This window comes from Homo sapiens, chromosome 20 (genome assembly GCF_000001405.40).
Source record: "Homo sapiens chromosome 20, GRCh38.p14 Primary Assembly".
Taxonomy (NCBI): Eukaryota; Metazoa; Chordata; class Mammalia; order Primates; family Hominidae; genus Homo; species Homo sapiens.
In genome coordinates, this window is record NC_000020.11 from 46,239,539 (window position 1) to 46,253,605 (window position 14,067).

Genomic DNA, 14,067 nt, shown 5'->3' on the forward strand with positions numbered 1-14,067 from the left:
TTGGGGAAGCTGGGCTGACAGCACCCTCTCCCAGGAGCTCAAGCACTCCTGGCCTCTGACACGCAGCCATAGAGCTGGAAGGTCCAGAGAGGTACAGCATCCAACTTTTGGCCACAGCGAGTCAGCAATGGAGCGTGGCTTAGGACCTAGGGCAGCTGCTTCTTGTCTAGCCTGGCTTGCAGATTACTTGGAGTAACGTGGTAGGAAGGAGATGGCAGCTATTGGCTTGTGCCCCTCACCCCATGACTCCCGTTTCTACCAGAGCCCCAGGAGCCCTGAGCTAAGTGGGGCCTTGATGGTCAGAAACGGTCTGGGGGTTTCCTGGTGGGAGAAGGCAGAGTCATGCAGCTTTAGCCTCAGTGTCCTGCTGCTGTGTGCATGGCCCTTTCTGAGTATGGTTGTGTCTGATGTCTACACAGAGATGTATATTTCTGTGTGTGTGCACTTCACTTTCTATGGGCATAATCATGTGTGCAGTGCTCCTGGGTGTGTGCAGTCATACCCAGGTAAGTGCAACTGAATCTGTGTCTGGGGGCTTAGCCATCTCTGTGTGAGGCTCTGTCCCTAGCTGGCTGGATCTCGGTGAGCTGTGGCTTCCTCTGGGCTGTAGACAGAGCTGCCTGTCTCATTCATCTGCCTGTGCCCATGCCTGTCTGCGGCTGCACACCAGGGGAGCTGGACCCCAGGATGCTCATGTCTGCTTGTGGCTTTTGCCTCTGTCTCTGTACATGGCTGAGTCTGTGCAGAAGCACTATCTGCGTAAGGGCCTGTTTCCTGCCTGGGGTTGTGTGTGGCTAGGTCAGGGTGTGAGGTCGTGGGTCTGAGTGTGTGGTTGGGCCCTGTTTCAGCTGTGTCCCAATCTAGCTGTTCCTAGTGGTGGGTGTGCCTGAAGATGGGACTATGTCTGTGTGGAGGTTGTTGCCAAGGGCTGCGCTGTGTCTATGTGCAGTTGAACTTTTGTGAAGGGCTCTGTCAAGGCGTCCAGCTGTGCTGTGTGTGTGACTCTGTCCAGCTGTGCCTGTGTAGGGGACTGGATCTATGAATGAGGTTGTGTACCAGTGTAGTGGTGAGTTGTATGCGGGGCTGGGCTTGTGCATGTGGCATGTCCAGATCTGCAGCTGTGTCTCCATACGTGACTGGGTGTGGCTGTATGAGCATGTCCGAGGGCATCACTGTGTCCACATGCGGGTCCACGTTCATGGGGGGCTGTGTCCATGGATGTGGCTGAAGTCATGTGTGTGGTTTTGTCCAGGACTATGCTTGACCCCAGGGGGCACCTGAGCTCACATCTGTACCCTGTACCCTAGGTCAGCAGGCTCTGTCTTTTCTGTCCCTCCCCAGAGGATCAGCTACTCCCCTTCCCAGCAGGCTCCACTTGGGGATCACCTTGATCCCATCCCCCACCCCCAGGGCCCACAGCCCACCTGTAGGTGAGAGCTCGGCCACGCTGCCAATATAGGGGCCGTGCAGGAAGCGGGGCTCACTGTCATTGATGTCCTGCACCTTGATGATGAACTCCGACTCGGGCTCCAGTAGGCGGTTGGTGGCGCGATCCCGAGCCTGGGCCCGCAGCGTGTAGAAGGTTTTCTGCTCGCGGTCCAGGCGCTCCATGGCATGAATGTCGCCTGTCAGCTCGTCGATCAGGAAGATGGTCCCAGCACCCTCGCCTGAGATGGTGTACTTGATGGCCCCGTCACCCTCGTCTGAGTCGGAGTGGATCTGGGTAGGCAGAGAAGAAGGCAAGGTGGAGGCTGAGAAGGAAGCTCCTCTTGGCCTCACTGTCTCATGCCATTGGCTGCCTATTCCTAAGCCCATCTCTTCTCCAGCACATACACATCTTTAGTGAGGACACTGAGGCCCAGCAGCCACGCTCACTTCCATCCCTGGCCTGGAGTCTTTCCTCAGCCCGCTGGGGCCCTCCCTGCCCCTGGACTCTGCTTTCCCCTCTGCATTCAGAGCTATCAGCCTTGGAGGCAGATCTGAACATGGCCTCCCTGCTTACAACCCTCCAGTGGCTTCCCATTGCCTTCACAAAGAAGTCCAGCACCACCTCCACACCTCTCTCCCCTTTAGCACGCACAGCTCTGAGGCTTCTGCCTTGAGCCCTGTCCTTGTTTCTCTGCCCATGGAAAGTCTCTCATCCTGCAAAGTGCAACAAAAATGCCACCTCTTTCAGAAAGCTTTTCTGGATCCTCAGTCTCCCCCTGCCCCCAGGATCTCTCGGTACATCAAGCCATCATGATCATGTTCAGCCTTGTAGGATGGCTGTAGCCAGCACTTCTCAAACTCTAGTATGCATGCAGTTCACCTGGGGATCTTGTTAAAATGCAGATTCTGACTCAGTAGGTCTGGGGCCAGGCCTCAGACTTTGCATTTCTAACAAACTTCCAGGCTGCTGGTCCATGACCTCACTGTGAATTACAGGTCCACTGCTCCCTAGACTCTGCACCCCAGGAGATTGGGGTGGCATCTTCCTCATTTTGGTATATGGAGAACCAGGCTCAAGACATAGCACATGACAGGGAGTGAAGGGAGAGAGGAGGAAGGGATGTTAACTGAAAGAGCACCTTCCATGTGCCAGGCACTGGCTAAGCAATTTATGTACTTTTCTAGTTAAAGATGCTTTTTTTAAAAACCTGCTAGAGTAGGTTTTTCTATCTTTATTTTACAGATTTTTTTCCCACTTCCTAATGAAGATTGGAGAAGTGGGATGGGTTCTTCAAGGTCAGGCCACTGGAAGAGCTGGTCTGACTCCACACTGGGCTTTCCCATTCCATCTAAAGCCTCCGGAGAGGAGCCCAGGGGAAGGGAGAGACAGTGCAGCCTGGCCCAGCCTTGGCTCTGACATCGCCTCCCTGTGCATCCTCACCCATCACTTTGCCTCTCTGGCCCTCAGTTGCTTCATCTGTAACATGGGAATCATATTAGCATTTTCCTCCCAGAGGTACTGAGGGGTTTGCTGAGTTGAGAATCCATACAAGGCCCTTAGCAGGTGCCACCAAGTGACATTTACAATATTTAGCAGCCAGCACGGTGGGGGCACTGCCCAGGCAGTGGTACTGCAGCAGGATCCCTGCTGGGCCAGGCAGGAACCCTTCAGTTGCTGGATCACAGAGAGGCCCAGGGGGCTGAGAGAGTTGGGGCGAGGGAGAGGAGAGGGACTATTTACTGCAGGTATGGAGGTTTTTCATGATTTTAACAACAAGTACAACTGTACCAGTTTGTACTACCTGGAAATAAGCCCTGTCTGAGACATAATAAGTGCCCAACAGATGGTAGCTATCGTTATTATTATATTATTACTGCATGTTAGCTATATATAACCAGGATTTAATCTAGGCACTATTAGGCTCCAGATTCCAGGCTGTTTTCACTGCCCTGAGATCTCTTGGGTGAGGAACCAGCAAGACGTCTGTTTTCTTGCAATCAGAAACACCTAAGTCCTTATCTTCCAATGCCCAAATCTCCCAGGCAGCTTCAAGCAGAGGAAAATCCATTCCGATGAGGCTTTGGGCAGGTCCCTGCTCCTCTCTAAGCTTCCATGGAGATGGAGTGTGGACAAGAGAATCCCTAAAGTTCCTTTCAGGCTGGGGTGCTGGGGACCCCAGCCCACTAGGCAGGAGAACAGGTGCCCATGAAGTCATCACGAAGAGGGACGAAAGCCCATCCCCTGCCACGCAGGAGGAGCCGGGGTATAAATTCTGCTGGTAGAACTTTGTGTCTGAAAGGTGGATTATAGAAGTGCCATTTGGAAGATTGAATGGCCCATAAACATTTTCATATTTCATTAGCCGATTAATGGGCATCTCTCTCTTTTTGGCGAGTCTGCTGATTCTCAGCAGAAATTGCGGGGACTAAATGGAGGCGTCTGGTGGAAACTTTCCGGGTCCCCATCCTGTTATAGATTGCCCCAATTAATGCCCGTCCTGGGCTCCACTGAGAAGCCTTCTTCCTGTCCAGTTACTGTTAATAGATTTCTCATAAGTGGCTGGATTGTAAAAACCTCATAACTCAGTTTAATGCCCCCAATAAAATTATTTCAGGACATCGGCCCTGAATCATTGGCAGTGCTGAGGATGAGGAGACCTGTCTCTCCTGTTTGCTGTTTATACGTTTTTTCCACCATTGCCCCAGGGGAGATGGGATGAGAGGGGGTGATTCTGTTCCCTTTTGGGGTGCCTCTACCTGCTTCCCAGCCTGATCTGTTGTCTGCTTATTTCATCAGCAAACACTTCTGAGCAGTGTGGTAGAATAGATGCCATTTGAAGAGATGCTTAACAGCTATAATCTTACTAGTCTTCATCATTGCCCTGTGAAACATTATCATTCCCATTTCTCAGGTTAGAAAACTGAGGCACAGAGAGGGGAAGTCATGTGCTGTGTCACATGGCTAAGTGTGGAAAGCACGCTTCTGACTCTACCACTCACTAATGTTGGGACCATGGATTTGTGAATTTTACCTCTCTGAGCCCCTGTGTTTCCACCTGAGAAATCACACCAAGCCCTACTTGGCACAGGTGTGGGGAGGATTAGATGAGAGCATGTTTACATTGACCTAAGCACTCTGTTAATGGTTGTTTCCTTCCCTTTCCATCTCCTGGGTCTCCATCATGTCCCTGCAGGCCTTGATGTTTTGACTCAGACCCCAGGCAGGGCTCACTTACGAGTGAGGAATGGAGAGGAGCGAGTAGAACCTAGTGGTGATGTCATCTTCTGTGGAATATGACACAGAGCTCACGCTGGGGCCTACTGGCTGCTCTCTGGGGACTGCAGAGTCAGACAGGGGCAATCTGCCTGGGCGGGAGCTAAGATCTGGGAGTTACGAATTCAGGCCCAGCTGGGGTTGCCTGCCCTGCCTGCCTGGGTCCCGGCTCCAGAGTGAAGAGGGAGTGCCTCTGGCTCTGCCCTAGGAAGATATTTCTCAGGACTCTCAGCTGCGAGTGGAGGCTGGAAGATGGTGCTCTCATTTATTGAGAACCTACTATGTGTCAGACATGTGTTGCAGGCCATCTGCAGAAATCCAACTTGACTTTGTGGGGTTTGTAAATGTATCCCTATTTTCCAGGTGAAGAGACTGAGATGGCCCCCGGTCTGTTTGACTCCAAAGCCCAGTTTGGTTTCTCTGCAGTCTCTGGGAATCTGGCTAGTCTGCTTACAATGCCTATAGCAGAGGGTGAGGGAGAAAAGGGGAAGGGGGGAAGGAGTGGGTTACTGGGTGGCCACTGGGCTGCACAGCTTGGGTGGTGGCCTTGACACCAGTCTTTTGCCCTGTGCCGTGCAGGCCACAGTCATCGGTGGCCTCTTCTCTCTAAGCCTCCATTTTACCACTTGGGAAAGAACCTCAAACTACAAATCAGGAAAGATTATGTGCTTTGGAGTCAGAAGCAGCTCTGTACCAGCTTCAGCTTTGCCAGCAACCTGTGCATGACCCTGGGCAAGTGGCTACCCTTCTCTGAGCCTCAGTTTTCTCATCTGTAAATGGGACTGATATTGCTTCACCACATATATTCTGAAGATTCATAAGATAATATATGGAAGCTCCTTGCGCTTAGTAGGTGCTCAATATAGATTAGTTCCCTCTCCTTTTCCTGTCCCAATCTCAGGAGGGGTCGAGGGGTCACCTAATTCATCCCCTATCTCCTGATACAAGAACCACACAGACTCAAATCCTGACCCACTGGAGATCCAGGGGCCATGATCCAATCAATGCCTTCTTGTCTTTCAAACTCAGCTTGTTTCCTCCTCCAGGCAGCCCTCTCAGATGCCCTCTCATTTGGTTGAAGAGACCTCACCTGCTCCGTTCCTGCCCCGTACACATGCCCCTCTACTCCACACCCTCCTCTAACTTCTAGTGTTGCACATCTGTGTCCCCAGCTGTCATGGGCCTCAAGGTATGGACTAAGTTAGGTTTGTCTCTGTCAGAACTCTCTGTGCCTGGCACACACTAGGTACCCTGACAATGCCTGCAGAGAAAATACAGGGGGTGGGAAAGTTGAATATGTGTGTGTGTGTGAGTGCACGTGAGTGTGAGCTTGCAAGCTCCTTGAGGGCCAAGCATCTGGCTGTTTATTCCATCTCCCCAGCACCCAGCACGGGGCACAGCACCAAACATATTGAATAAATGAATAATAAAATATACAACAGTCATCAGACTCCCCCAGTTGTCTTCTAGGATTTCTGGAGGATTCAGCCACTCTTAAATCCCAGGTACAGATGGACAGTCGCTGGGAACCTGAAACACTCCAGGCACAGTTCTAGACCTTTTACTGCTGTCTCATTGATGTCTCATCTTGTGCATCAGAGCTTACTCTCTCCCCGTCGTGTAGATGGGCAAACTGAGGCCCAGAGAGAGTCTAAACCCCACCTAAAGTCACACAGGTAATGAGAGACGGCCCCAAAGCCTGACACCACATTCAGAATTCTTTCTACCACATCAAGTGTGGCCAGCCCTGGAGGAGAAATCCCCCTCAAGCCCCATCCCTTGATCATAAACAACATGAAAAACACAAGAGCGATGTTTTCTCATCCCAGGGGGCTGAAAAATGGGATTTATGAAGCCATTAATTACTTCCTCCTAATTAAATCAAAATTAAATGTGAGCATAGGTACGTTTTCCTTATTAAAGACAATTAAACGGACAGTGCGGCTACGCAAATAAAATGAGTCCAGGATTTAAACGGAAAGCAAATCAAATAAAAAGCCTCCCCGGGATGAGGGGTCTGTTCACGACTGTGCTACTCGTAAACCAGGAGTTCATCAATTTTCTTTAAATATTAGCAACTTAATTAAATCTGCTCTCCTCCCCACTTTAATCCTGCCGTATATCTAAAATAGATCTCACCACCTACAGGAGTTGGTCATGAGTGCTGACCCCATAATTCTATCTTTTTTTAAAAAATTAAAAATCCTACAAAATCCACATCCAGCTGACAGAGGCCTCGGGGGAAATTATAGTTCGGAAAACGGATTAGTCAGAGTACCCAGATTTTATGGAAATGCTGGGAGGTTGCTTTGAGGGTGGGTGTCGTGAGAAGGTTCGGGGAGAGGTGGGCCAGGGTTGCCAATGGGGGCAGGGCCGCGGAAGGAGCTGTTTGTGTGGGGCCTTGGCGACAACCGCGGGGCCCAGCGGTTCCTGTGGGTGCTGACAGGAGCCTGGCGGTGAGTGATGGAGGAGGCGGTTGTAAAATAGGTTACCGTCGGGCGCCCGGGGTTCACTCTGCGGATGGTGCTGTTGCTAAGCTACCTTTAGAATTCGACAAGGACGGATGCTCCGAGCGGCTCCCTGGGGTGGGGGGAACCAGGAAGCAGTGAATTAACTGAAACCGTGGTGAAGTCCTTTCTTCCTGAAGAGTGAGAGAGCGTGGTATGAGAGTGTGTGTTTGCATTCATATGTGCCCACACAAGCACTCGTACATACGAGGGACTCAGCTGGAAAGGGGACAGGTGGCTTTTAAAAGCCCAAGCTCATATTCCTAGGGTTGGGGGGTGGGGTGGGCTAATGACAACCTTCCCCCCCACTTAGTGGTAAGAAACTATACTGTTAGGTTGCCAAAAAGACTTTTTGGGATTTGGGGCGGGAGTTCACAGTTAGATGGTACACTCAAGATGGTGGAACTATCCATAATAGTGAGACTTACAAGGTGAGACTTAACAACATAAAAGTGAATACTTACTGAGCACGTGCCAGGACCCAGAGAGTATTCTAGGTTCTTGACAAATGCTAACTCACTGACTCCCCAACGCCAGACTTTGAGCTAGGTCCCAGTAATAGCCTCACTTAACAGATAAGGAAACTGAGGCACAGAGAGGGTAAAAAAGTTGGCCCTCTGTATCCGTGGGTTCTGCATCAGTGAATGCAGCCAACCCAGGATCAAAAACATTCAGAAACAAAATTGGGTCTGTACTGAATGTGTACAGACGTTTTTCTTGTCATTCTCCAAACAATATAGTATAACAACTACTTGCATAGTATTTACACTGTATTAGGTATTATCAATACTCTAGAGATGATTTAAAGTATATGGGAGGATGTGCATAGGTTATCGGCAAATGTTATGCTATTTTATATTGGGTTTTGGTATCCATGGGAGGTCCTGGAACCAATCCCCCATCGAGAGATACTGAGGGACAACTGTAATGTGCCCAAAGTCAGGAAGATCATAAGCAGCCGAGCTGGGATTTGAGCCCACGCAGTACAGCTCCAGGTGGCCCTTTAACCACACACAATGCCACCTCTCTTAAGAAAGTGTACATTGGGCAAATATTTGCTAAGAGATGGAAACTTCTTCTCCCTCCCTGGATGGAGTGTTTTTCTGGAGGTGGCCTTGAGAGTAAGAGAGCAGGGCAGGGGCTCTGGGTGAAGGTGATAGAGAAGGAGGGTGACAAGTCACAACAGCAGTGGCAATGTGGGGACTGGTTGCTGGGGGAAACAGAAAGGGCCCTGGGCCCAGCACAGTGCTTGGCTCCTGGCAGCTGCTTAATATGAGGCTCTTGAAGTGAGCACGGAGATTGTGTTAGGAGACCTGGTTTCTTGGGTTGGTTCTGCAACTATGTTGCTGTGTAGACTTGGCATGATCTTCTCTGCCTCTGGGCCTCAGTTTCCCCTCCTTCTAATGAAGGGAGCTACAGGGCCCTCCCCTGCTTATAGACTGTGGTTCCATGAGATGGGGATGGGGTCAGCTCATGCTGTTGAGGTGATAAAGGCTAGGTAGGGGCAGATGAAGGCGTGAGTCAGCAGCCGGTTTTCTCATCTTTTCAGGATGTGGGTGGCTGGCGAGGCTTTTGCAGAGCCCCAGCTGCTGGGCAGACAGCAAGGCTGAAGTGCCTGGGATGACCACCTCCTCTGACATTTAGGCAGATGCATCAGTCCTTCCCTGTCTCCAGGGTTTTCCTGGACCAAAGGTCTTTTCCCAGGTCTGGGAATCTCTGAGGGGTCTGGAAAATCAGGCTGGGGTTGACCTCTTCTCTTTCTCTTTTGGGGGCTTAAAAACTTCAGCTCAGGGGAACAGGTGTAGTGGCTGACTTCTGTAATCCCAGCACTTTGGGAGGCTGAGGCAGGTGGATCACTTGAGGTCAGGAGTTCAAAGCCAGACTGGCCAACATGGTGAAACCTCATCTCTACTAAAAATACAAAAATTAGCTGGGCATGGTGTAATCCCAGCTACTTGGGAAGCTGAGGCAGGAGAATCGCTTGAACCTGGCCGAGGAGGTTGCTGTGAACTGAGATCGTGTCACCGCACTCCAGCCTGGGTGGGCAACAGAGCAAGACTCTGTCTCAAAAAACAAAAACAAAACCAACAACAACAACAACAAACACTTTAACTCACACAGGTTCAACTCTTGGCCATGCCACTCGCCCACTCTATGACTTTGCCCTCTGTTACTTTGGTTTCTTTACCTACAAAAGGGAATGATGATTTCTACCTTGCAGTTTAAGGGTTAAGTACTTTATATGGGAATAATAAAAAACAGCAACAACAAACAAACAAGCCACAGGCTGAACACTTTATGTGCTCTGTTTTCTTCTTTAATCTTCAACAACCTTAGGAAGCTGGCTCTCTGAGCCCCTGTTTTTACAGATGAAGAGACTGAGTGTTGGGGCAGTAAAGTAACTTGTTCAAGGTCACTCAGTGAAGGGATTGGCAGAACCAGGCCTCAAACTCAGGTGTGTCTGCCTCCAAAGCCTTCATTCTTAGCTGTTTCACCATTGGCTACTACCTATCATATAGCAGGCTTGGTCACTCCATCCCCAGCCCTTGCCCCATTCTACCAGCGTCACCATCTCCCACACCTGTCTGGGAGTCAGGAGTCCTAGGCCCTGCCACTAGGTTGCTGGATGATCTTGAGCAAGGCCTTGAACCTATCTGAGCCCTGTCTGTCAAATCCTTGCTCAGCTTAATTGTGGGAATCATTCATTCATTCATTCATTCAGCCACATGTATGGAGCTTTGGGCCAGGTATTACTGTGTCTAGACCAGAGAAAATCTGAGCTTCCTGCAAGGCAAACCCAAAGGTTTACATCTAGATTTTCCTTCTCTCCTTGTCAAGGATCCTGATCTCTGAGCCTCAGAACTGCCTCCCGGTTCCCACACTCATTTAAGCACACAGGAAGCTCTGGAGTTTTCTTTCCCCACCCACATTGCTGACCAAGACTTCCTGGAAAGCTAATTGGCCCTAACAAAAGCCAGATACTGTCCCGGGGCACCACCCCACTTTCATGCCCTACAATCACCCTCCACTTCAACACCTTAACTGCTGACAAGGCTCTGAGCAAACCAGCTACCTTCAGGTTTCCAAGTCTTTGATTAGGTTACGTCCTCTTTCCCACCAGCCTGATGAACTCCTACACGTATGTCAAAACCCAGTTCAGGTGTTTTCTCCTCCATGAAGCCAGACAAAATATACTATTTAATGATTGCCTACTCAGTGCCTGGTGCTGACTCATGAAGCTTTTCATGCACCAGGGTGCCTCTGCCACTCTGGGGATCCCCAAAGTGGCAGAGGCTGGATCTCACTCACCTTTTCTCCCCAGCATCACACATGGGCCCCACAAGGGGCTCAGGAATTGAATGGATGAATAAAAGTCCTTCTCAGCTCCTTATATGCCTATGTTATAGATCTTCAGCCAGATTTACCAGCATTTACTCAGAGAGTTTGAGAAAGTAGTTTCATTCATTCATTCATTCATTCACTTAATAAACCGTTTGCAAGCAATGTCTGTGCTAGGCACTGGGGATTTCGCGGCGAGCAAAACAAACATGGTCTAATAGAAAAGACACACATTAATTGCACAATGAAACAAACACATGCATAATTAAAGTGTTATGAAGGAAAGATGCTGGGACCTCACGGGGGATGTGACAGCAGATCTGTCCTAGCCTGGTGTGGGCAAGAAGGGTTTCTCTGAGAAAGTGGCATTGGAGCTGTAGTGTGAGTGTAAGGTCATCAGTGGAAGGAGCAGGAAAGGGCAGTTCAGCAGGAGAAACAACTTAGGCAAAGGGGCAGTGGCAGGAGTGTGCATGGGACGTTGACTTTCAGAAGAGCAACGGAAGGGCAGTGAGGCTGAAACTCAGAGACTGTGGCAGGAGATGAGGCTGGAGGAGCCAGATCTTTGTAGTCAATGGATAGAATCTGGGCTAGACCCCAGTGCATAGGGAGCTGCTGAAGAATTTTAAGCAGAGTGGAGCAGCTAGAGTATGTGTGTGAGATGATCGGATTTGCAAACTCGTTCCTAAATCCCACATGCATCTAGCTACAGGATGGAATGGGATTGCCTGCTGGGCTCTTTCTAAGATGCAAAAGGGAGGGGAAGGAGAGGAGGGCATGGGGCGGAGTGGGAGTGGGAATGGGGCTCTGGGCCCCCTTATCAGTCCTTGGCTAGGGAGCAGAAGAGGCACATGAAACATGGATTTAAAAGGGCAGGTGAACAAGGGTTTCTTGTATCTACCCGTGGGTGTCCCCAGGGTCCTGGGATCTGGAGTTGGAGTGGGGCCCCACTTTACCTTGCCCACATACAGGGGCTCCGTGCCCGTGTACTCCTCTACCACGAAGAACTGGTTCCACACCCAGCCGCGTTTGACGCGGCCGGCTCCCAGCGCGCCGTCCTGCCGAGCTCCGGGCGCCGACGGCGAGGGTGTGCCCGCTGCCCACAGGCGCCCCAGCAGCGTCGGCGGCGGCGGCAGCAGCAGCAGCAGCAGTAGCGCGGGGGACAGCGCGACTCCCGCCCGGAGCCCCCTACCTTCGGGCCTCGGCCTCATCCTTGGCCTGCGCGGGGCTGGGGCCCAGGAGCATGGACGAGAGGCACCAGGGCGCCGCTGCTTGGTCGCACAACGATGCGGCGCCGTGTCACATGGTGGCCTCAGCGCGGCCGCCGGGATGTCGCCCCCGACGGGGCACCCGGACGGGCCCGCGGCCCTGAACGCCGCCCAGCCGCGGGGGTACCCGGCTGGAGGGGGAGGGGGCGCGGCCGCATCCGGGGCATGGACAGCCCCCGGGGTGCCCGCCCGCGCCCCCGTCGCCGCGTCGCGTGCGGATCACCAGGCAGCACCTGGACAGCTCCAGAGTCGGGGAAGCGCCATGGTTCCTGCGCAGAAAGGATGCGGGTTGGGGCCGGCAGATCCTGCCAGGACTAGGGGCCTTCCCTTTCCATCAGGAGCCTGCAAGAGAAACAAGAAAACATTAGAGGGGCTTCTGTGTAGGGGGAGGGCAAGTTGAGTCTATCTTTCCTCTTGTAGGTACTAATTAAACACCTGCTGTGTGCCTGGTACTGTGCAGGGTGGGACAGGCATCATAGCAACTCACAGTGGTCCCCTCTTCTTGGAGCCCATAGTCTAGTAGGCGCCCTCTCCCGCACATCGCAGCCTCTCCTTTCACCTGGCATCATACGCCCTGTACTCCCAATCTCCTACGCCTTTCTCACAGCCCCTGCCCCGCTCAGCCCTCATGCCCACACAAGGAGAGACCCTAGTAGGCGGTGCCCCTGACCTGGCTGACAATCTCTCCAGCCCTGCCCAGCCCCCAGAAATCCCCCACCCTAGGTGCTTCTAGAAGGCATCTTCAAGAGCCCCCAAGACCCAGGCCTCCTTGGTGCACAGAAGTCCAGCACCCAGCCCACCACCAAATATGCCTGCCTTCCTATCCATCGCAGCACAGACAGGTCATTCCATCTGAAACAGGCACCAAGGGAAGGCCCTCTGATGTGCTCGTACCCCCACACCAGCTTCTAGGGATACAGCACCTGAGTCCCAGAGGGCCTGGCTTGGAGACACCCTCAGTGACTCCGGGCAGGGTCACAACCCCTCTGAGCTTGCCTCTGGTGCCTCCACATTCCCCCAGAAAATATTTCTTTCCCAGAGTCCGAGAGACATCTTTCCTCCCCACTCTTGGACCAGCCTGCCGTCCCCAGATCCATCCATCTCTCTTCCCTTCTCTCTATCAGATCCTGCTTTCAGCAGGAAAGGATCTGAGGGACTAACGCCTACTCAAGCCATAAGATGAATAATGGCTTAATGTGGGTGTTTACAGGGGACAGCGATGCTGCTTAATGGAGGAATTTCAGGCACAGAGAGGAGTGTGTGGAGGTGAGGGGCTCAATCCCCACTTCTCCTTCTCCTGATCCCAGTTCAGCTCAGTTCAACAGCTCAGTTCCACCAAGCTTCAACTTTGTGCCAGGTTTGGCCAGTTGCCAGGGGCAAGGTAAATAAGCTCACAGTTTAGTGGGGTGGAAGGTGAAACCCTTCTTATAACAACCTAAATGCTAGGTGGCATATGATCGGGGCTATAAAAGTGTCTGTGTGGACAACCTGAGACCTGTGGGGCTCAGGGAAGGGACTGAGCTCGGGTGTTTGGAAAGGGAAAGTAGGCGGGAGACAATCAGGGTTACTTCTTGGAGGAGGCGGCATCTGAGCAGATGGGAAGAAAGGGATGGGCATTTCAGGCAGAGGAGTGTGCATGGTGGCTGAGTGGTCTGGCCAGTTTGGGGAGTTAGATTGTGAGCAGGGGTGTGTGTTTGGGCAGATGGTGTGTAGTGGGTTGGGGTGGGAGGCTGACCTGGCCCTAGCCAGATCTTCCTGAGAACAAAGAAAGTGGCCTAACTCTAGGGAGGAAGAAACGCAGACCACCTTCTTTAACCCAGCATCACAGTGGGCAATGCCCTTCCCTTTAACTCACGGGAATCACAACTCTGAAAATTGTCTTATGCCTATTTTGCAGATGCCTAATTCCCCAGTGCTTTTTTTTCTAGCATCTCCTCCGGAAAATCTTTATGGAAGGAGTTTCAGGGTGGGGAGTCATTGCTGGAAGGTGAGGGTGACGGTGAAGGGGTTAAGCTGTAGTTCTGGGCAATGAGAGTGGGAAAACGTCCACACTCCATAGGGAGGGATGGAGGGAGGGGTCTGGAACACGCTGTTCCCTCTTTCCCTATAGGTCCAAGCCTGAACTCATGGGGTCAGGAGGACCCATGATCCTGTGGTGAACATACCCTGCCTGGTATGACTTCTATGGGCCTGGGCACGAGGCTTCCCAACCCTGGCAGCCCTGCTCCGCAAGCCCTGCTCTGTGCTGCCACCT

The 14,067-nt window shown here is 51.9% G+C and overlaps 1 protein-coding gene across 6 annotated transcripts in view; it reads right to left on the bottom strand.

The window, feature by feature from the left end:
* Positions 1-14,067, bottom strand: part of CDH22 (cadherin 22) — a 134,760-nt gene that overhangs the window by 65,800 nt on the left and 54,893 nt on the right. For 4 of the 6 annotated variants that reach the window (XM_047440373.1, NM_021248.3, XM_024451967.2 and 1 more), the window contains exons 2-3: positions 11,502-12,155; positions 1,425-1,719 (exon numbers count right to left, since the gene is read on the bottom strand). In XM_047440373.1, coding sequence (XP_047296329.1) covers positions 1,425-1,719; positions 11,502-11,756 — 550 coding nt within the window. In that variant the 5' untranslated portion in view covers positions 11,757-12,155. Of the gene's footprint in view, positions 1-1,424; positions 1,720-11,501; positions 12,156-12,736; positions 12,936-14,067 lie in introns of those variants that run through there. The other 2 variants (XM_011528994.3, XM_024451966.2) reach the window with 2 other exon arrangements.